At 53.1% G+C, this 19,361-nt stretch overlaps 1 protein-coding gene and 1 long non-coding RNA gene across 6 annotated transcripts in view, besides 15 other annotated features; both read right to left on the bottom strand.

The window, feature by feature from the left end:
* TPM4 (tropomyosin 4) overlaps positions 1-14,573 on the bottom strand; it is a 35,465-nt gene extending 20,892 nt beyond the window's left edge. For 2 of the 5 annotated variants that reach the window (NM_003290.3, NM_001367837.2), the window contains exons 1-2: positions 5,414-5,616; positions 65-198 (exon numbers count right to left, since the gene is read on the bottom strand). In NM_003290.3, the coding sequence (NP_003281.1) occupies positions 65-198; positions 5,414-5,545 (266 nt within the window). In that variant the 5' untranslated portion in view covers positions 5,546-5,616. Of the gene's footprint in view, positions 1-64; positions 199-1,035; positions 1,197-4,980; positions 5,096-5,413; positions 5,617-5,938; positions 6,065-14,148 lie in introns of those variants that run through there. The other 3 variants (NM_001367836.1, NM_001145160.2, NM_001367838.1) reach the window with 3 other exon arrangements.
* Positions 903-1,630: an enhancer, noted in NCBI's record as "H3K27ac hESC enhancer chr19:16191291-16192018 (GRCh37/hg19 assembly coordinates)". NCBI's record gives its function as "activates a minimal SCP1, AML or CMV promoter by ChIP-STARR-seq in naive H9 embryonic stem cells {active_cell/tissue: H9 hESC(naive)}" and the evidence as "EXISTENCE:reporter gene assay evidence [ECO:0000049][PMID:30033119]".
* Positions 2,727-2,956: an enhancer, noted in NCBI's record as "active region_14201". NCBI's record gives its function as "activates an Ori minimal core promoter by ATAC-STARR-seq in GM12878 lymphoblastoid cells {active_cell/tissue: GM12878}" and the evidence as "EXISTENCE:reporter gene assay evidence [ECO:0000049][PMID:35858748]".
* Positions 2,987-3,056: an enhancer, noted in NCBI's record as "active region_14200". NCBI's record gives its function as "activates an Ori minimal core promoter by ATAC-STARR-seq in GM12878 lymphoblastoid cells {active_cell/tissue: GM12878}" and the evidence as "EXISTENCE:reporter gene assay evidence [ECO:0000049][PMID:35858748]".
* Positions 3,247-3,296: an enhancer, noted in NCBI's record as "active region_14199". NCBI's record gives its function as "activates an Ori minimal core promoter by ATAC-STARR-seq in GM12878 lymphoblastoid cells {active_cell/tissue: GM12878}" and the evidence as "EXISTENCE:reporter gene assay evidence [ECO:0000049][PMID:35858748]".
* Positions 3,407-3,626: an enhancer, noted in NCBI's record as "active region_14198". NCBI's record gives its function as "activates an Ori minimal core promoter by ATAC-STARR-seq in GM12878 lymphoblastoid cells {active_cell/tissue: GM12878}" and the evidence as "EXISTENCE:reporter gene assay evidence [ECO:0000049][PMID:35858748]".
* Positions 4,545-5,274: an enhancer, noted in NCBI's record as "NANOG-H3K27ac-H3K4me1 hESC enhancer chr19:16187647-16188376 (GRCh37/hg19 assembly coordinates)". NCBI's record gives its function as "activates a minimal SCP1, AML or CMV promoter by ChIP-STARR-seq in primed H9 embryonic stem cells {active_cell/tissue: H9 hESC(primed)}" and the evidence as "EXISTENCE:reporter gene assay evidence [ECO:0000049][PMID:30033119]".
* Positions 4,545-6,002: a biological region, named in NCBI's record as "NANOG-H3K27ac-H3K4me1 hESC enhancers GRCh37_chr19:16186919-16187646 and GRCh37_chr19:16187647-16188376".
* Positions 5,057-5,966: a silencer, noted in NCBI's record as "silent region_10289". NCBI's record gives its function as "represses an Ori minimal core promoter by ATAC-STARR-seq in GM12878 lymphoblastoid cells {active_cell/tissue: GM12878}" and the evidence as "EXISTENCE:reporter gene assay evidence [ECO:0000049][PMID:35858748]".
* Positions 5,275-6,002: an enhancer, noted in NCBI's record as "NANOG-H3K27ac-H3K4me1 hESC enhancer chr19:16186919-16187646 (GRCh37/hg19 assembly coordinates)". NCBI's record gives its function as "activates a minimal SCP1, AML or CMV promoter by ChIP-STARR-seq in primed H9 embryonic stem cells {active_cell/tissue: H9 hESC(primed)}" and the evidence as "EXISTENCE:reporter gene assay evidence [ECO:0000049][PMID:30033119]".
* Positions 6,003-6,732: an enhancer, noted in NCBI's record as "H3K27ac hESC enhancer chr19:16186189-16186918 (GRCh37/hg19 assembly coordinates)". NCBI's record gives its function as "activates a minimal SCP1, AML or CMV promoter by ChIP-STARR-seq in primed H9 embryonic stem cells {active_cell/tissue: H9 hESC(primed)}" and the evidence as "EXISTENCE:reporter gene assay evidence [ECO:0000049][PMID:30033119]".
* Positions 10,251-10,815: an enhancer, noted in NCBI's record as "H3K4me1 hESC enhancer chr19:16182106-16182670 (GRCh37/hg19 assembly coordinates)". NCBI's record gives its function as "activates a minimal SCP1, AML or CMV promoter by ChIP-STARR-seq in primed H9 embryonic stem cells {active_cell/tissue: H9 hESC(primed)}" and the evidence as "EXISTENCE:reporter gene assay evidence [ECO:0000049][PMID:30033119]".
* Positions 11,276-11,395: a silencer, noted in NCBI's record as "silent region_10288". NCBI's record gives its function as "represses an Ori minimal core promoter by ATAC-STARR-seq in GM12878 lymphoblastoid cells {active_cell/tissue: GM12878}" and the evidence as "EXISTENCE:reporter gene assay evidence [ECO:0000049][PMID:35858748]".
* Positions 11,476-11,845: an enhancer, noted in NCBI's record as "active region_14197". NCBI's record gives its function as "activates an Ori minimal core promoter by ATAC-STARR-seq in GM12878 lymphoblastoid cells {active_cell/tissue: GM12878}" and the evidence as "EXISTENCE:reporter gene assay evidence [ECO:0000049][PMID:35858748]".
* Positions 13,918-14,212: an enhancer, noted in NCBI's record as "tiled region #6392; K562 Activating non-DNase unmatched - State 6:EnhF". NCBI's record gives its function as "activates a minimal TATA promoter and a strong SV40 promoter by Sharpr-MPRA in K562 cells {active_cell/tissue: K562}" and the evidence as "EXISTENCE:reporter gene assay evidence [ECO:0000049][PMID:27701403]".
* Positions 14,978-15,272: an enhancer, noted in NCBI's record as "tiled region #14445; HepG2 Activating non-DNase unmatched - State 8:EnhW, and K562 Activating non-DNase unmatched - State 8:EnhW". NCBI's record gives its function as "activates a minimal TATA promoter and a strong SV40 promoter by Sharpr-MPRA in HepG2 and K562 cells {active_cell/tissue: HepG2 | K562}" and the evidence as "EXISTENCE:reporter gene assay evidence [ECO:0000049][PMID:27701403]".
* LINC01855 (long intergenic non-protein coding RNA 1855) lies at positions 15,799-16,424 on the bottom strand. Its single transcript, NR_146442.1, has 3 exons — positions 16,356-16,424; positions 16,075-16,243; positions 15,799-16,006 (listed from the first exon to the last, which is right to left on the bottom strand). It is a non-coding gene; the product is annotated as a long intergenic non-protein coding RNA 1855 (long non-coding RNA).

The raw sequence follows: 19,361 nt of genomic DNA, 5'->3' as shown, positions 1-19,361 counted from the left end.
CGGCAGCATGATCCCCATTTTCTAAAAGCAAACACGGATGCCACCAGATTCAAAGCGTCCTTACCTCTCACTCTCATCTGCAGCTTTTTCTGCCTCCTCCAGCTTCTGCAGGGCCGTGGCCAGTCGTTCCTGAGCCCTGTCCAACTCCTCCTCAACGAGCTGGATGCGTCGGTTGAGGGCGGCCACATCACCTTCAGCCTGGGGAGGTCGGAGGTGCAGCCATGTTAAGAAGTATCAGGCCAGCCACCAGTGGGAGCCTCCCCCATGTCCTGCCCTCTGTTAACCTGATCTTCCCCGTCAAAGCCCACCCAGGAGTCCAGGCCATAGGGAATTTACACTCATACCAAAATTTCAGTATGATCTTCCCGGAAAATGTCTGGGAAAAACATCTACCACTCCATAGCAAAAGATGAGCATCGCCAAGCGTGGTGGCTCATGCCTGTAATCCCAGCACTTTGGGAGGCTGAGGTGGGTGTATCACAAGGTCAAGAGATCGAGACCATCCTGGCCAACGTGGTGAAACCCTGTCTCTACTAAAAATAGAAAAATTAGCTGAGTGTGGTGGCACGTGCCTGTAGTTCCACATGCTCAGGAGGCTGAGGCAGAAGAATCACTTGAACCCGGGAGGCGGAGGTTGCCGTGAGCTGAGATCGTGCCACTGCACTCCAGCCTGGTGACAGAGCAAGACTCCGTCTCAAAAAAAAAAAAAAAAAGCGAGTGTCCCAGTACAAGATGGGTAGTTGAGTCAACATAGGAGTCAAACATACCATGTGCTTTGAGATGAATGTCAGTGCTGGTCTCTCCAGCAACACAATAGACCCAACGTTAGGCTAAGATCTAAGATAGGCTCTTCTCTGAAAAAGGCACACAGTGTTACCACGTAGAGAGTTCTAGGGCTCACTGTGAGATTCTTAGAAAGCAAGGCCATCAGTGACCCGGCTCATTGTGTCCTGTGAGTTCCGCTCCCATTCACCTGAATGGCAAGATAAATGCAAGACTATGGAGCCCTCAGTTAAATGTTGGCCATGCAATTACCAAGGTGGGACGAGGCGGGGGAGCCTCGTTGGAATTCCATCCTTCAATCCGCCTGGCTGAGAGATGGCAGGACAAAAAGATATGGAAAGGGAAAGAAAACTTGGTTGCAGGCATGGAAGACATACCCCAATAGTGTTATTGGCTTTTCAAGGTGTTTTTACCTACAAGAAAGGAAGTACAATGGGAAGCATTAAACCAGGAACTCCAGGGCCAAAAAGTGCTGGGCTGGAATCCCCGCTTTGTCATTTTCTTTTTAATTTTTTTTTTGAGATGGAGTCTTGCGCCGTCACCAAGGCTGGAGTGCAATGGCATGATCTCGGCTTGCTGCAACTTCTACCTCCCGGGTTCAAGCAATTCTGCCTCAGCCTCCTGAGTAGCTGGGATTACAGACGGACACCACCACGCCTTGCTATTTTTTTGTATTTTTAGTAGAGACAGGGTTTCGTCTTGTTGGTCAGGCTGGTCTCAAACTCCTGGCCTCACGTGATCCACCCGCCTTGGTCTCCCAAAGTACTGGGATTACAGGCGTGAGCCACTGCGCCCGACCGTGCTTTGTCATTTTCACAGCCACGTGGTGTTGGGAAGGTTGCTTCCTCATCCTGGCCCTCTCCATCCCAAAGCCTGATTAGTTACCGGACTGCCTTGAGGCTGTAACTCCAGAGGGTGGCGCCGCTTATGCCCAGCAGGTGGGATGTGCCAGAGAAAGGCATCTCTTACTGCCACGGTTTTATTTTACTGCAATTTCATCCTCACACATCGCACCCATTTTACAGGTGAAGAAACCGAGGGGCCCCACTGGGGGAAGTGGTTTTATTCAGTGACTCAGAATTGGTAAGAAATGAATGGCCTCTTAAGACCCACCCAGGGCTCTTCCTTGTCAGAACCTGTCCCCTAGGTCCTGCCAGGGCTACGAGGCAAGGCGAGTTTTCCAGCGATGCCTGCTCTTTGGAAGGAATATTGAGAACGGGTCAAACGGGCCTCAACCGAGAGGAAAAGGGAAGCCACGCTAGCTTTTTCCTATCAGAACAAATGAAGAATCCCTGAACTGGGGAAGGCTATCAAAATTATTAGGAAGGCCGGGCGCGGTGGCTCACATCCGTAATCCTAACACTTTGGGAGGCGGAGGTGGGTGGATCACATGAGGTCAGGAGTTCGAGACCAGCCTGGCCAACATGGTGAAACCGCATCTCTACTAAAAATACAAAAAAATCAGTTGGGTGTGGGGGCAGGCGCCTGTAATCCCAGCTACTTGGGAGGCTGAGGCAGGAGAATCGCTTGAACCCGGGAGGTGAAGGTTGCAATGAGCCGAGATCGCGCCACTGCACTCCAGCCTGGGTAACAGAGCAAGATTCCGTCTCAAAAAAAAAAAATTATTAGGAAACCACTCCCTCTCCTGCCCTGAGTTCATACTGGGGGAAAAAAAAATAGAATGAGGCTAACGTGGCCGAAAAACTACACAAATAGAGTCAGGAAGGTTTCTCAGCCTCAGATTCCTAGAAGCAGAAAGAGGGCACTCCCACAGGTGTTTCGTATTGCAGTGTCCTCTGAAACACCAAATGCAGAGAATTGTGAAAACCACTGATGAAACTGTCTTAAGAAACGTCACTGAGGCCTTCCCATGAATGGGTGCCTTTCATTCTTTTTAATTGCCTAGATCTTAACTCCTCCTACCACCTTCAGTAACTGGGCCAGGAACTGATGTTGCAAAAACACTCTGCAACCAACACCATTATCGAATTCCAGGACATTTTCATAACCCGCCAAAGACAAACAAACAAACAAAAAACTGTGTACCCATTAGCAGTCGAGGAATTGATTTTAAAGATCAAACAGAGGTGCTTGATTCATGAGTTGTCTTTTAAGAAGTGAGTAGCCCTTATGTGGGAAATTCTGAATCCTGGCAAACAACGCTTTTGGCAGATTTTCAGCTGTCTGGAGTTGGGAGATACACGCATATCTGTACATGCATACATATATATGTATTTTTGAAAAACTGCTAGTCACGGCCGAGTCATTTTGGGTTCCACCCCTTCCTGCAATCAAAGCCTTCCACACGCTACAAAGGATTTCCCTTATAAGGTAAAAGAGGCTTGCTAGATACATGTGGCAAAGGAACAGGAAGATGTCAGTTAATCACACAAAAATCTAAACGAAACCAGCTGTCGGGAAACAGGCCCAGAAGTCTACCACACGCCGGCTCCTGGCTTATTCTACAAGAGTGAAAGGTTTTTTTTTTTTTTTTTTTAACCCACCCCTGGTCTTAGTTCCTTTTGCCCTGGGAGAGGTTTTCCCTCTCCCAGACGGAAAGAAGCATCCTTTGCTTTTTCAAGAACTTTTCGAACTTTTTCAAGAAGTCTTCAACTCTCCAAAAACATCTTCTCTCCCAACTAGACGGTCTTGCTCCTAAATCTTGGCTCCAGGCTGAGGGCCATTTTGAAGCCGAGTTAATTGTCCTCCAGCGAGATGACTTGGGATGAGATCAGAGCAAGAGCTGTGTCGGTTAAGTGTGAGAAAGAGGCCAGACCGGCTACCGATTGAGGCTTACACCGGGTTTCTAAGGCCTCTTGGGCCAAAGCAGCCCTTACAGGATTAGAGGCTTCAACCAAGGCCCATGCTGCAGCCCCCATCTGGGCTCTTTCCAGTCCTGGCAATTCACACCACCAATTCCATCTGGCTGGGCATCTTTTGCCTCTCTAGGGTCCCCACCCTGAGCCTCAACACTGAACTTTCAGGGCTTTTGGGCTTCAACCTCTATCCGCACACCCCCCCACCCTCATCATACAACTTTCTTGCCTCTGAGTCTGTGCACACCCATGTCTCTGGTCCCAGCAAACTTATTTATTCTATAAGACCCAGCTCAACCTCCATTTTGGAGCCTCCCCTGTCATGCTCCCATAACTGCACAGAAAACCCGTGGAATGCAGACCTCGCTCCATCAGTGAGTCAGCTCCCCTGCCTCCATTTGTCTATGAGCTCTTCCCAGGGCAGAGAAAACACAATTGAGGCTGGGCGCCGTGGCTCACGCTTGTAATCCCAGAACTTTGGGAGGCCAAGGTGGGCAGATCACGAGGTCAGGAGTTCGAGACCAGCCTGGCCAGCATGGTGAGACACTGTCTCTACTAAAAATCCAAAATAAAAAAAAAAAAATTAGCTGGGCGTGGTGGCGGGCACCTGTAATCCCAGCTACTCGGGAGGCTGAAGCAGGAGAATCTCTTGAACTCGGGGGGTGGAGGTTGCAGCGAGCCGAGATCGCACCACTGCACTCCAGCCTGGGCGACAGAGTGAGACTGCCTCAAAAACAAAACAACAAAAAACAACAACACAATTGATTATTTACAAAGCGCCAGGCTCCACGCCTGAGATTTACTCCTGGGACCCTCCCTGCTACTCTGGGGGGTCGGGATTCTTATCAGTCCTACTCGCAGATGGGAAAAAAGCTCCTAGAGAGCAAATACCAAGTCATGAAGCCTGTGGGTGGCATGATATGGGACCAGAATCCAAATCTGTCCCCAGACCCTGGCGGTGCCACCATCTGTCCCGAGGGACAGCCAGGAGGATGATGCAGAGAGGATGGTGAAACTCCCTCCTTTTTCAGACCCATTGTTTATCTCGGGCCCTGCGACTCGCGGCGGAGGCGCACAGCAGGCGCTCAAACGATCGTGGGTTCAGGGCCCCGCGCCAGCGTTCCCGGGGCCTTCTGGAGAGAGGCAGGGTCCCGCCGCCCCGGTTCCCGCAGGAATCAGCTGGAGAAAGGCGGGCGGCTTGGGGCTGAACTTCCTCCACCCCCCATCCCCCCCGCCGCCTGGAGCAGACACGTCGCCGCCGCGCCCCTGGGAACGGTCAGGGAAGCAAGCAGAAGCCGGGAAGCCGCGAAAGAGGCGAGAAAGTGCGACCCCCTCCCCAGATCCCCGGTCCCCCGTCGAAATCCCTGTCGGCCGGTCAAACCCTAGACAATGGAAGCTCCACGTTTTCATCCTCATTCTCCCCCACAAGTCCGGTCGCGGGTTCCCCTCGGCCCGGGACCCCGGCGCCAGCCCCGGAGTCGGAGCCTGCACGATACGCCCCCTCCCGCCGCTCCACTTCTCCACCCGGAGATCGCTCACCCCCTCCGCCCCATCCCCCCATTTCCCGCTTGGCCGGCCCCGCCCGACCCGGAGGCGGCGCCCCCTCCCCTGTCCCAGGCCCAGGAAGGAGGACGGCGGAGGAAGTAGGGGGTCCTGGCTGCGGGCGCAGGGATGTGGGTCGGCGATCGGCGTCCGAGGGCGTAAAAAGGCGGCCCGAGGACTGCGCGCGGGCGGGCAGCGCGGGAAGCCGGGAAGAAAGGAGGGCGCGCGGGGGAGGAGGCTGCGGGTGCGGGGCCCGAGGCCGGGGCGCTCACTTTCTCGCGCCGCTCGCGCTCGCCGTCCAGCTCCCGCTGCAGGCCCTGCGCGCGGTCTTCCGCCTCGTCCGCCTGCTGCTGCAGGGCCTGGATCTTGCGTTTCACCGCCTCCAGGGAGTTGAGGCCGGCCATGGCGCGGAGGCGCAGAGGCGCACGGGCAGCGGCGGACGCTCGGCTGGGCTCGGCTCCGGCGAGAGCTGCACAGCCGCGCCCCGGCCCCCCAAGCCTTTGCCTGCGCGGGGGCCGCCCCCGCCTCTCCCCGCCCCCCGGGCCGGCTGCCGTCGGGGCGATGAGGTCACCCGGCCGGACCGCCGACGTCAGCACCGCTGGGGGAGGGCCTGACGTCGGCACCGCTGGCCACAGCTGCTGGAAAGTGCCCCTTTTCGGGACTTATTTGGAGAAAGCGCTGGGAGGCGCCGCCTTCTCCTCCTCCTCTTCCTCCTCCCCCTGCGGCTCTCCCCGCCTTCCCGGCCCCGGGGCTCCGGCCTGGCCCCGCCGCGGGCTCCCGCATCCCTGCACACGTACGTCGGAGGCCTTCTTCTCCGTGAGCTCCAGCTTCTCCTGCGCGTCCTTCAGGTCCTCGGAATATTTATCCAGCTCGTCCTCTGTCCCTTTTAGTTTCTTCTGGAGGTGCGTCAGCTCCTCCTCCACCTGGGGACGACAGAGCGAGGAACGGGTCAGCCTGGGGGGGGGGTCACGTCCCCGAGGTGCAGGGGCGGTCCCCCCCAATATTCACAAGAGTCCTCCGTCTCTCTCTGGGCATCAGTTTCCTTATCTGTAGAACAGGGGTTGCGATAGCATGCACCACGCCATCCATGCTACCTGATAGTGGGATTTTCACATCTTTCCCTCGTCCTGAGGACCAGCTGTTTTGGGCTTATTGGGGTCCCCAGTACTCTAGGGAGATCAATGGCAGCTTTTGGGAAACTGAAGACTCCAAATGTTTTCCAGAAATACACACATTCCAGTTTCAGAGGTGCAGCCTCACCATGATCTGGAGTTAAGCAATCTCATTCTCTGCGCGTGGATCCCTCCGCCCATCCCTGTCCCCAGCCTTTCTCCCTCTGGTTCTGACCCCAACACGGGGTCAGAGAAACTTTCTAACAAATACGCCTGCCCTCTTTCTGCCTAGAACCTGCTATGGCTCCCTATGGCCCAAGGCAGTGGTTCTTAGACTGTCTTACCAAAATACTCTGAAGGGCTGAAGGGCTCAGACCTAGTCCCTCATTTCTGGGCTTTGGGGAGCTTGGCTAGAAGAGACTCGCCCCTACAGGATCACTTTCTTTGAAGGCTCGGGTTAAATCTTTAAAATTTTTGCATATAGGCCATGTTCATTTTAATAAAAATGTCCCCTACTTTCCCTAAATTTTCAGTCCTCTGTTTATCCCAAGAGTCCTATCCTCCCATCACTCCTAGTTTGAGAAGCTCAGGCCTATGGATTACAAACCACAGACCCCATCACCTCTCTTTGTCACCCCCCACCACACCGGTCTAGAGTTGGCTCAAGAAGACTTTTCTGTCACCTCCAGGCTGAAACTCCCTCCCTGGGCCCCCAACTCTGGATTAGGGTGATCATATCCAGCTCATGCCTGGATCTGACTTTTTTTTTTGAGAGTCTCGCTCTGTCACCAAGGCTGGAGTGCAGTGGCACGATCTCAGCTCACTGCAACCTCCGCCTCCTGGGTTCAAGTGATTCTCCTGCCTCAACCTCCCCGGTAGCTGGTACTACAGGTGCACACCACCACGACTGACTAATTTTTGTATTTTCAGTAGAGACAGGGTTTTGCAATATTGGCCAGGCAGGTCTCAAACTCCTGACCTCAAGTGATCTGCCCGCCTCGGCCTCCCAAATTGCTGGGATTGCAGGCGTGAGTCGCCACACCTGGCTTGGATCTGACTTTTGCCTTAGATGGTTTGACACTGATCTTGTTCCTGCTCCCAGGGTGGGCAGACAGCCCCCACTGAGCCCAGCTTCATTCTCCTGCTTCCTCCCCACAGCAGGAGGCTCAGAGAGGTGGGATGACTTTCCCCAGGTCACACAGCACAGGGTTTGAGCCCAGGTCTTCTGGAATATAAGCCTATAATGAACTGAATGCTTGCTTTTGCCCCCTCTCCAATTCATGTGTTGAAGCCCTCATCTCCATGTGATGGTAATTGGTGATGGGGCCTTTGGAAGATGATGAGGTTTGGGTGAGGTCATGAGGGTTGACCCACCATGATGGGATTAAGGCCCTTATGAGAAGAGGCCAGAACTTGGTTATCCTCTTCCAATGTGAGGACACAGCAAGAAGGTGGCTGTCTGCAAGCTAGCTAGAGAGCGCTCACCAGACATTTAATCTGCCAGCATCTTGATCTTGGACATCTAGCCTCCAGACTGTAAACAATAAATGTCTATTACTGAAGCTACCCAGTCTATGGTGTTTTGTTATAACTGCCTGAGCTGACAAAGACAAAGCCCTTGGCCCTGTTCCTCACACTAGGCCAGCTTCCCTTCCTCCCTCTCTGACTTGCTTCTCTTCTTTTTTTTCTTGAAGAGGGTATGTTAAAAAAGCTGCTGTGCCCGTGGCTTCTAGACTGAGCTCTGAATCCTGTCTGGGCTACGTGCTCACCCCTGAGTGGATGTGCAAAATGTACCAGGTGCCCCATATGTGTGTGTGTGTGTATGTTTTTTTTTTGCCTTTTTTTTTTTTAACCTGATCTTGCTGTGTGTGTGTGTGCATTATTTTTTTTTTTTGCGTTTTTTTTTTTTTTTTTTTTTTACATGGTCTTCCTGTGTCTCCCAGGCTGGAGTGCAGTGGTGTGATCATAGCTTACTGCAGCCTTGACCTCCTCGGCTCAAGCGATCCTCCCGCCTCAGCCTCCTGAGTAGCTGGAAAGTGTGAACTCCAGGCTTCCCATCTTGCGGCCTGCTGGGTGTCAGCTGGAGGATGGGGTGGAGGCTGGCAGCTGGAGGTTCAGCTGATGTCACTGAGGTGACCTGCAAGGGTCTCTAGCTGAGATGTGACAGAGAGCAGGGAGGGCTATCCTGTCTGAAGTCCTCAGGAGCATCCCAAGCTATGGGGAGATGACAGGGCCCAATCCAGGGTGGCCAGCTGATCAGGGCAGGGTCAGAGTCTATAGGGCCTGACCTTGACCTCCGGGTGGGGAGCCTGGAAGCCTGACTCCAAATCCAAGCTCTGCGACCCCCGTCCCCTTTTCTGGCCTCAGATTCTCCATCTGCAGAACAGAAACCTTGACATGCTGGTCTCTGAGCATTCCGGCAGCTGCTTTTGAACTTCTGCCTTGACTGAGAAAATGAGCCAGTTTCCTTAAAGACGTTTCATAGGTCAACCCTGACCTACAGCATCCACCTGACTTCCTTCCAGATCTGTGGATCACAGCATTTATTGGGTGCCAACTGTGTGCCCAACACAGGACTCTCCTAACATGTAGGAAGAGTGAGAGCAAATCTGACAGCATGGACTCATCAGGGTATGAAGATGGTTTGGGTGTTTTGTTTTGTTTTTGTTTTTGTTTTTTTGAGATAGGATCTCGCTGTGTTATCCAGGCTGGTCTCGAACTCCTGGGCTCAAGGGATCCTCCCACTTCAGCCTCCCGAGTAGCTGGGACAACAGGCATGAGCCACCCCACCTGGCTGGTTTGGGGTTTTTTTGTTTGGTTTGGGGTTTTGACTACTTTTTTGGGGGAAATGTTTGGGCAAGAACATGTGAGGACAGGGATAAGGCCGACAGGGGGCTATCTGGCATTTAGAATGTGTTGGGCGTGTTACAATTTGTTTTGATATATTTTTTGAGACAGAGTCTTGCTCTGTTGCCTAGGCTGGAGTGTAGTGGCTGGATCTCAGCTCACTGCAACTTCCACCTCCCTGGCTCAAGTGCTTCTCCTGCCTCAACCTCCCTAGTAGCTGGGATTACAGGCTCATGCCACCAAGCCCAGTTAATTTTTGTATTTTTTGTAGAGACAGGGTTTTGCCAGGCTGGTCTCGAACTCCTGACCTCAGGTGATCCCCCACCTCAGCCTCCTGAAGTGCTGGGATTACAGGTGTGAGCCACTATGCCTGGCCAGGGCGTGTTACAAATATTGTCTCAGGGAAGCCCCATACTACAGAAGGGCAAACTGAGTCTCTGAAAGGGGAAGGGACTTGCCTGATGCCACACAGATGGGGGATTTGAATCTTTGTTAGTCTGATTCCAAAGCTGGTTTGCTTGACTTCTAGACCATGCTGGACCCACTGCTAAGAATGACTTTCTACTTTTCACTGGGAGGGCATCTACCGTCCCTCCATGCTCAGTCCCAAGGCTCCCCAACCCTGGTGGCCTGCTCTGCTGCCCTGAGCAGAGCTTTCGCCACGCCTACAGCTGTCCCAGCCTCTGTCCCTCCCTCTGGTCCGGCCCTGACCTCTGAGCTGGAGGTATTCATGGTCTGTCTCCCTCAGCTTGGAGTTTCTTGAGGGTCAGTTCTGGGACTGAGGCCACTATGGGCCCCAGCATTAGAACACTGTAGGAAGTGTTTGGGATGAATCGAAGACACAACCCCAAACCCTTCAGTGGTAGGCAGTGAGGATAAAAAATAAATGAGAGCTGGGCGCAGTGGCTCACGCCTGTAATTCCAGCACTACGGGAGGCCGAGGCGGGCGGATCACGAGGTCAGGAGTTTGAGACCAGCCAGACCAACATGGTGAAACCCCGTCTTTACTAAAAATACAAAAATTAGCCGGGCCTGGTGGCGCGTGCCCGTCATTGTCCCTCTGTGAGCCTCAGTTTCCCTATCTGTCATAGGATTACCTTAGTCCCTGCAAATGGGGCCTTGGGGCAGGGCTGAGGCAGGATGTGGGGTCAAAGGCCAGTGGTGGAGGATGTTGCTGCCCTGGGAGGGGAGTGGGCAGGAAGCGGCCGGGCTGGGCCTCTTTGTCCTTTTCCCACACTGGGTAAGCAGGGCCAGAAATCAGTGCTTGGCTGCTGGGATCAGGCTGGCCCGAGAGCTGCTCTCTCTGGCCTCCTGCAGCGTCAGGCGCTCTAAGTGCCTCTATTCCCCAGCAGGACTGGCCGTTAGCTCCTGTGGGGCGCTGGCTTCTGCTTCGGAATTCTGGGATCTTGAGTTCCACACCTGAACTTCAGAAGGCCTCACGTGTTCCCATTTCACAGATGAGGACACTGAGGGCTCAGAAATGTGCAGGAACGTGTCCTCAGTCATGAAGCTAGGAGAGTCACAAAGACCAGGCTCCGTGGCTCAAGTCTGTGATCCCAGCACTTTGGGAGGTTGAGGTGGAAGGATCACTTGAGCCCAGGAGTTCAAGACTAGCCTGGGCAATAGTGAGACCCTGTCTCTACTAAAAATAAAATAACTAGCTGGGCGTGGAGGTGTGCACCTCCACTGGGGAGGCTGAGGTGGGAGGATCGCTTGAGCCCTAGGAGTTTGAGGCTGCAGTAAGCTGTGATTGCACCACTGCACTCCAGCCTGGGCAACAGAGTGAGACCCCCATCTCTAAAAAATAAAAATACATTTAAAGACTGATATACACAAAGTATGTGCTAGTCTATGGAGGTTTGCCTGAAAGCTAGTCTGTGTAGACTTGCTTTGAGCCCAAGTCTACTCCAGTGGGCATCTTTGTGGGACAAAAAAGGCATAACCTCCTTGGCCACGCAGCTGGCTGGAGGCTTTGAGGATTCTTCCTTTTTGAACTTGTGGCTGTCCTGGGAGATAGCCACTCACACCTTAGTAAGAATTAGTGCTATAAACTTGTTTCTCTCCGAATCTCTGGCTAAGTCCCTCATGGTGAGGGCTAAATGATGGCTAGAAGCTGGCCCAGCACAGGATGAATGTCTGTGTTTGCCAGGGAGGGGCACAGAGAAGGCGGAGAGAGCTTGTGGCAGGGAACACTGGGGTGGGGCTTGGCCTGCACGAATGTGCCACATACTCTTAGGGCAGCCCTGGGGCACGGGGGGCTGGGGAGGCCCAAAGGGGAAGTAGGGCGGGGCAGGAAATCAACCTACATTTATTGAGTGCTTACTCTGAGCTAGGCTCCGGGCCAAGGGTTCCACCTGTACAGTCACCTCTAATCCTGTCATGGGGTGGCAAGGGAGGCCCTACTGTCACTTCCGTATCTCACTCATGCAGGCGTCCGGGACACCTAGCGACTGAGCCATGACTCAAACATGGCCAGTCTGAGCTCCGAGCTTTCGCCTTTAGCTGCCGGGCTGGCCTGGCTCCTGGCCTGGGTGGGGCTGGGCACTCGGTGCCATGGTCCTAGGCATCTCCCAGGGTTTATCGGAGACCTGGATGCTCCCCAGGGCTTGGCAGTTGACATCGGGGTGTGGATAAACATTGTGGGGAACATGGCTCTGTGGGAGGGGACTCCCTTCCTTCCTCCCACCCACTGCTCCTGTCTGCTCTGCCCCAAACCATGGCCACGGCCTTGGAACTCCAATGCATTCTCATTGCCAGGGTTCCCAGGACTCTTGTCTCCAAAGTTCTGGGTCTGTGTGGGCTCTTGGCTGCCAGGAGATGGGAAATGGCCTCCCTCTCCTCCGTCCACCACGGGCAGCCCACCTGCCCCGGCCTCCAGGCTTTTAGCAGGGACACCCCCACATACACAATGAGATTCTCAGACTCACTCTCAACTCTACTCCCATCCCAGTCCCCAGACCCCACCCAGTCACCCCTGCAGCAGGTCACAGCCCTGGGCCCCCACCACACACACACACACACATGCCGTGCCATTCTCCTGGGCAGGTGCCCATGAGACAGCGGGCTTCTGTCACAGTGGAGGCTTCCTGATCCAGGGGCATAGTGTCACCTACACGCACACACAGGTTCGCACAGCCCCCCTCACATCCATATGCACACGCCAGCAGAAACAGTCACTGACACACACACTCACCCCGACAGAAACACACACTCATTCACACACACACCAATCGAAACACACACTCATCCACACATGCACACACCCCCCAATAGAAACACACTCATACACGCAACCCCATAAAAACACACACTTATCCACACACACACCCCAACAGAAACACACACTCATCCACACACACACCAACAGAAACACACACTCACCCACACACACACAGCAACAGAAACACACATTCATCCACACACACCAATAGAAACACACACACCAATAGAAACACACACTCATCCACACACAACACACATACACACCAATAGAAACACACAATCATACACACACCCCATCAGAAACACACACTCATCCATACACATTCACACACCAATAGAAACACACACTCATTCACACACATACACACCAACAGAAACACACACTCATACACACACACCAATAGAAACACACACTCATCCACACACATACACACCAATAGAAACACACAACCATACACACACCCCATCAGAAACACACACTCATCCATACACATTCACACACACCAACAGAAACACACTCATACACATAAACACACCAACAGAAACACACACTCATCTAAACATGCACACACACCCCAACAGAAGCACAGTCACCAATACACACAACAGAAACACACATCCAAACATGTGCGTGGGTGCACACACACACGCCATCAGAAACCCATCACCCTGATACACAGATGCCAACACAAACATAGCCACATCAACATGTACTTTCAATCACTGTCATACCAGCGTTTGCTCAAGCACACACACAGTCAGCCTGTCCCGCTACCCTCACAGACCCCCACCATCTACACACAGGCTCACAAACACACCCACACTCTTTCACACCTACTTTCCAACAGCCGCACGCAGCGTCCCACACACAGCTCTCCTAGTACACACTCATTCTCACAGTCACCTTTACCCCTCCGCACTCTTTTCAGCTGAAACATATGTGCATGTACAGATAGACACGTAAAACAGACACATACAACACATGTGCACACACAGAAAGGCTCAAACACACACAGATACACTCACACACACACAGAACTGCTCTCACACACACAAATATGTGTACACACACACGCAGAAATGCTTAAACACATACAGATACACGCACAGAGAATTGCTCAAACACACAAATATGTGTACACACACAGACATGTGCAGAAATGCTTAAACACATAGATACACACAGACACACGCTCAAACATACACAATACATGTACACACAGACACAAATGCTCAAACATGCAGATACACACACAGACACACACAGAAATGCTCACGCACACACACAGAGAATTGCTCAAACACACACAAATGGCCGGGCGCAGTGGCTCATGCCTGTAATCCCAGCACTTTGGGAGGCAGACGCGGGCGGATCACTTGAGGTCAGGAGTTTGAGACCAGTCCGGCCAACATGGCGAAATCCGGTCTCTACTAAAAATACAAAATTAGCCGGGTGTGATGGTGGGTGCCTGTAATCCCAGCTACTCGGAGGCTGAGGCAGGAGAATCGCCTGAACGCAGGAGGCGGAGGTTGCAGTGATCCGAGATTGGGCCACTGCACTCCAGCCTGGGCCACAGAGCGAGACTCTGTCTCAAACACACACACACACACACACACACGCACACATGCACACACACACCAGAGGCAAACACGCACACACGTACACACACACGTACACACACATACGCTCAAACACACGCAAATACACACACACAGCATGTCCCCAACCGCCCTATCTAGTACACAACCTCCCAGCGCAAACGACACCTCGCTCACGAACGTTCTCACTCTCCCTCCCCCGCCAACTCTCTCTCTGTCAAACTCACTTTGTTCGCACTGGCCCTGCTGGGGGTGGGTCCGATCGTCACCCCTCTTCCAGCCCAGGACCCCATCCAAGGAAGGCAATGGTCCCCTCGCTCTTCCTCCGCCAAAGCATCAGCCTCCTATCCTCCCGCAGGTGTCTGCGACCCCCAACTGGGCTCCAGACCCCGGCCTTCCGCACAGAGAGGACTCCCAGCAGCCCGGAGCGGCCCAGCGGAGGGCACCTCACCTGCTTGCACTTGTCCTCAGCGGCTTTCTTATCCGCCTCCGCCTGCTCCGCGCGGTCGATGGCATTCTCCTTGTCCAACTTCAGCATCTGCATTTTCTTCTTGATGGCCTCCATGGCTGGGCGCTGGCGTGGGGGACGTGGGGTGCGCGGCGGGCTCTGTGGGGGCTGCGGCAGTCAGGGGCTGTGGCTGTGGGGCAGAGTGAGCCTGGCAGGGTGGAGGAGAGGGCCTTATAGCCTCCCGGGGTGCCTCCGCCCTCCTGCCAGGCGAGTCTTGGAGGAGGCCCAAGCCCAGGCCGGCCGGGCCAGCCGCCACTCGCTTGCTCAGGAGGACTTGGCCAGCTCACCGTGCTCCCGGCAGCCCTCGCCTTATTTGGACCTAGGATTTTCTTAAAGGAAGAAAAAAAAAAGGTCCTAGCTGTTTCCATTTTTAACCTGGTGACACAGGTCCCGCGTGGGCGTGTCCCGGGCAGGACCTAGGGTGGGGGCTGCTCTGGGCTGCCTCAGTTTCCCCATCCATCGTTGGGAGGAATGAAGAGGGCTGTGGGTGGGCTCGGGGTCCCGGTGCTGCAATGTGGGGAGGCGCCTGTCTTTTCTGCCTTGGTCTTGTCTGTGGCCCACTGAGTACCTGGTCCCCTAAAAATGGGAAAGTACTTGTTAAGTAAAATGAGCAATTCCCCGTTTCCCCCCTCCCCCACCGCCCACACACACACTTTTCTCTGCCTAGGAAATGTAGGAAACGTCTATTTATCTTTCAAGGCCCAGATCCAATGGCCCCTCCTTCAGGAAGCCGTCCTGGATTCCTAGACAGACTTTTGGACTTCCTGCCTAGCATCAAGCTTTCTCCTCCCCTCTAGGTCCTGCCTCTCTAGTATCAGGGATTAGGCCTCCACCCTATTTCCGGCCACCACCCCCAGGGAGCCTTCCTGGATTTCTCCCACCTCTTTCTGCCATGCCCCTGTCTCTCTTCTGGTGACTGTCGCTGTGTCTCTCTCCATCTCTCCATCTCTTCTGCCCCCCTGTGGCTTCTACTGCTTGTGGCTCATGACAGGGAGAAGGCCACTCAATCAACTGATCTGGGCCATCTCTGAAACTCTTGGAGCCCAGGGCAGGCTCCTGCTGTCCTCTCTAGATCTCAGGTCTTCCTTTCCTCCCTCTTGTGCTGGGAATCAAGGTGTGGCTCCCCAGTTCCCAAAGAACAGGAGACGGCCTTAGTGCCTTAGCTCCCCGCTTAAGACTCTGCCCCCAACTCTCTCCACACTGGACCCCTGTACTCCAGTTTTCCCACCCCCAGGCCTTTGTGCCGTCCATCTCCTTGACCCTACTATGCCTCCGTTCTCCCCTCCAGCAATCAAGGGCAGGATTTGCTGACTCCAGAAAGCTTTTTCCTTCCTTAGATAGTAGAGCTAAAAGAATAAAACAAAAAGAATTTTTTTTTTTAAAGAGAAAGTTTAATTTATTGGCTCATTCATTCAGGCACTGAATTCCTGTCACATGCTGTGTCCTAGCAGCGCACACTCAGCATGTGGGAGCTGTTACTATTATTGTTATTATTCAAGCATCATTTATGAGATGTGAACTCTTTGGGGCAGGCCATGGGGCTGGGTCTTGTCTGTGGTCTTCTGAGTACCTGGCCCCTAGAAGATAGGAAAGTGTTTGTTAAAATGAAACACACACACACACACACACACACACACACACACACTTCGCTGCCTAGGAAACTTCTATTCATCCTTCAAGGCCCAGATGCAATGGCTCCTCCTCTAGGAAGCCTTCCTGGATTCCTAGACAGACTCCTGGACTCCCACCCAGCATCAAGACTCCTGTGTGGGATGAAGTGGAGGTAGGGAGGCCTCCTTGTTTTCTGCCCAAGGCTGTAGAGGAAACAGGATCGTGGAAGAGATGGGTAGTGGTCAGTGCCACTGGGGACTGTAGGTTCGGGCCAAGAGTGTCCAGCTTCCCTCTGCCCCCTCCCAGCTGCCTCACTGTTCATTAAGCCAGCTTCCTTCTCTTTGTCATGGTGAAAACTTCACCCCTGTTGGTGCAGGGGCTGAAAAGGTAGCAAATAGAACATTCTAGAACTTCTTTCATGCGCTAAAGACATTGACTTCTCCCTGTGTTCCGGAGTTAAGGGGGCCAAGCCCAGACCCCTCCCCAACTCCGTTCTTCATCCTCCTCCCTTATCCCACCCCTCCCCCATGCTACACAGACAGTTTCGTCCTGTGACAAAAGCAGACCAGAATAATTGCATCTCGAGGGACGTCAGTCATGATGAAAGGACCCTGGGTGGATAATGAAGAAATGCTGTTCATGGACTAAGCCTAGCAGATGACTCACAGATCCCACTTTGAGCCATAAGCTGGAGGGGGGGGCACTGTTTTTATTCCCCTCTTTTTTTTTGAGACAGAGTCTTGCTCTGTCACCCAAGCTGGAGTGCAGTGGCATGATCTTGGCTCACTGCAACCTCTGCCTCCCAAGTTCAAGTGATTCTCCTGTCTCAGCCTCCCGAGTAGCTGGGACTACAGGTGCCTGCCACCACCCCTGGCTAAATTTTTGTATTTTTAGCAGAGACGGGGTTTTGCTATGTTGGTCAGGCTGGACTCCAACTCCTGACCTCATGTGATCCACCCACCTTTGCCTCCTAAAGTGCTGGGTTTACAGGCATGAGCCACTGTGCCTGGCCTTTTATTCCCATTTTTACAGAGGAGGAAATTGAGGCTGGCCCTCTATGTCAGAGGCCATCCAGCCAGGTGAGGCAGCTGCAACGTAGGCCCCTTTGCCTTTACAATGAACTCCAGGAATGAGCTGCGGTTATAAGCCCCTCCCTGTGTTACAAATAGGGAAACTGAGGCCCAGAGTGACTCACCCACAGTCACCCAGCTTGTGAGTGGCCCAGCTGACTCTAGGACCGAGCTGGCAAGAAGTCCTAAGACTCCCTCACCCACCCCGCTCTGCCACAACCAGGCCTCCATGCCCACCATTTCTCATTCTCTTCACTATCTCAGGCTGAGTCATCAGAGGTCAGTCCTGATGTCCTCTCCACCCCTGCTGTCCCCCGCTGTGTCCCCAGAGACCCTGGGACCAGCCTCGCCGCAGGTGGTGTGGCTAATTCCAGGCCTGACACCACCGACCTCGGAAAGAGATTCCTCCCGCAGGAGATATCTGCGTGCTTCATGGCCTTGTAGGGAAGACCCTTGTCCCTGGTACGGTTTCTTGCAAAGGGAGCTCCCAGAGGTGGAGTCTGATGCGGAGGAGGGGAGACACAGGCTAGGAATGGCGCTAGGACTAGCTGCATGACCCCATCAGCATCTTTAGTGTGTCGTCTGCAGCCTTGGTAATGGACTTACATCCCCTCTGGGCATGAGCTCCAGGGAACACCCCAGGAGCCCTGGTCAGGGCCGGGAGGGTCATTTGGGGTTCCCGGACGCTGGGGGCCCTGCCCCAGCTGTTCAGGCTGTGTATTCTGGAGCATGAGGCAGGTGGAGGCTGCCATTTATAGCTCAGGAGTGAGCTTCCCTCCTGCACTACAACCTCTCCAACTGGGGGCTTCTAAGGACAGGATGGGGGAAAGAGAACAGCCCATCAGCATCCCAGCCACCTCCCAGTCATGAGACCCAGAGTCATTTATCAAGCATCTACTACCATGTGCGTGTTTTTGGAACACTGTGGTGGACATGACTCATCCCAGTGGGGCAAGACAACCAATAACTGCAATTATGGAATGAATTACAATAGGGCAAATGACTGTCTTTTGATACAAAAGTTCAAGGAGGTCAGGCAAAATGGCTCACGCCTGTAATCCCAGCACTTTGGGAGGCTGAGGTGGAAGGATCACTTGAGGTCAGGAGTTTGAGGCCAGCCTGGGCAGCATAGCAAGACCCCATCTCTACAAAAGATACAAAAACTAGCTGGGCATGGTGGTCTGTGCCTGTCGTCCCAGCTACTCAGGAGAATAAGGTAGTTGAATCACTTGGGCCCTGGAGTTTGAGGCTGCAGTGAGCTTCTTTTTTTCTTTCTTTCTTTTCTTTTCTTTCTTTCTTTCTTTCTTTCTTTCTTTCTTTCTTTCTTTCTTTCTTTCTCTTTCTTTCTTCCTTTCTTCCTTTCCTTCCTTCCTTCTTTCTTTCTTTCTTTCTTTCTTTCTTTCTTTCTTTCTTTCTTTCTTTCTTTCTCTTTCTTTCTTTCTTTCTTTCTTTCTTTCTTTCTTTCTTTCTTTCTTTCTTTCTTTCTTTCCTTCCTTCCTTCCTTCCTTCCTTCCTTCCTTCTTTCTTTCTTTCTTTCCTTCTTTCCTTCTTTCCTTCTTTCCTTTCTTTCCTTCTTTCCTTCTTTTCTTTCTTTCTCGAGACAAGGTCTCACTCTGTTGCCCAGGCTGGAGTGCAGTGGCACAATCGTGGCTCACTACAGCCTAGATCCCCCAGCTTCAATTGATCCTCCCACCTCAGCCCGCTGAGTAGCTAGGACTACGGGCATGTGCCACTATGCCTGGATACTTTTTTGTTTTTGTAGAGGTGGCGTCTTGCTATGTTGCCCAGGCTGGTCTTGAACTCCTGGGTTCAAGTGATCTTCCTGCCTTGGCCTCCCAAACTATTGGGATTACAGGCATGAGCCCCTGTGCCTGGCCTGCCGTGAGCTATTATTGCACCACTGCACTTCAGCCTGGGCATCAGATACCCCATCTCTTAAAAAATGCAAGGACAAATAGTTTATTTGGGAAGTGACCCAAGGAGATACAAGTAGAGGATGGGAAGTGAAATAGGGAAAAGAAAGTAACCATTAAGCATGCATTATGAAACCAGTTACTGCCATGGACAAATAGGGTGCAGTCCCACTGAGGGCCTCTGGAGGCAGCAGAGAGCATGCTCTTTGGAGTTGTCCCAGCTGAGGGGCGAAGGAGCTGGGGTATTTATCCACCAATTCCATGCTGCTGTTGATTGAAGGCTGCTCTTAGGGGCTGTTGATTGTGCTGATCTGCCCTTGTATGGGTCACACTCACTT

This window comes from Homo sapiens, chromosome 19 (assembly GCF_000001405.40).
Source record: "Homo sapiens chromosome 19, GRCh38.p14 Primary Assembly".
NCBI lineage: Eukaryota > Metazoa > Chordata > Mammalia > Primates > Hominidae > Homo > Homo sapiens.
This window is presented reverse-complemented; position numbering and strand designations above follow the sequence as displayed.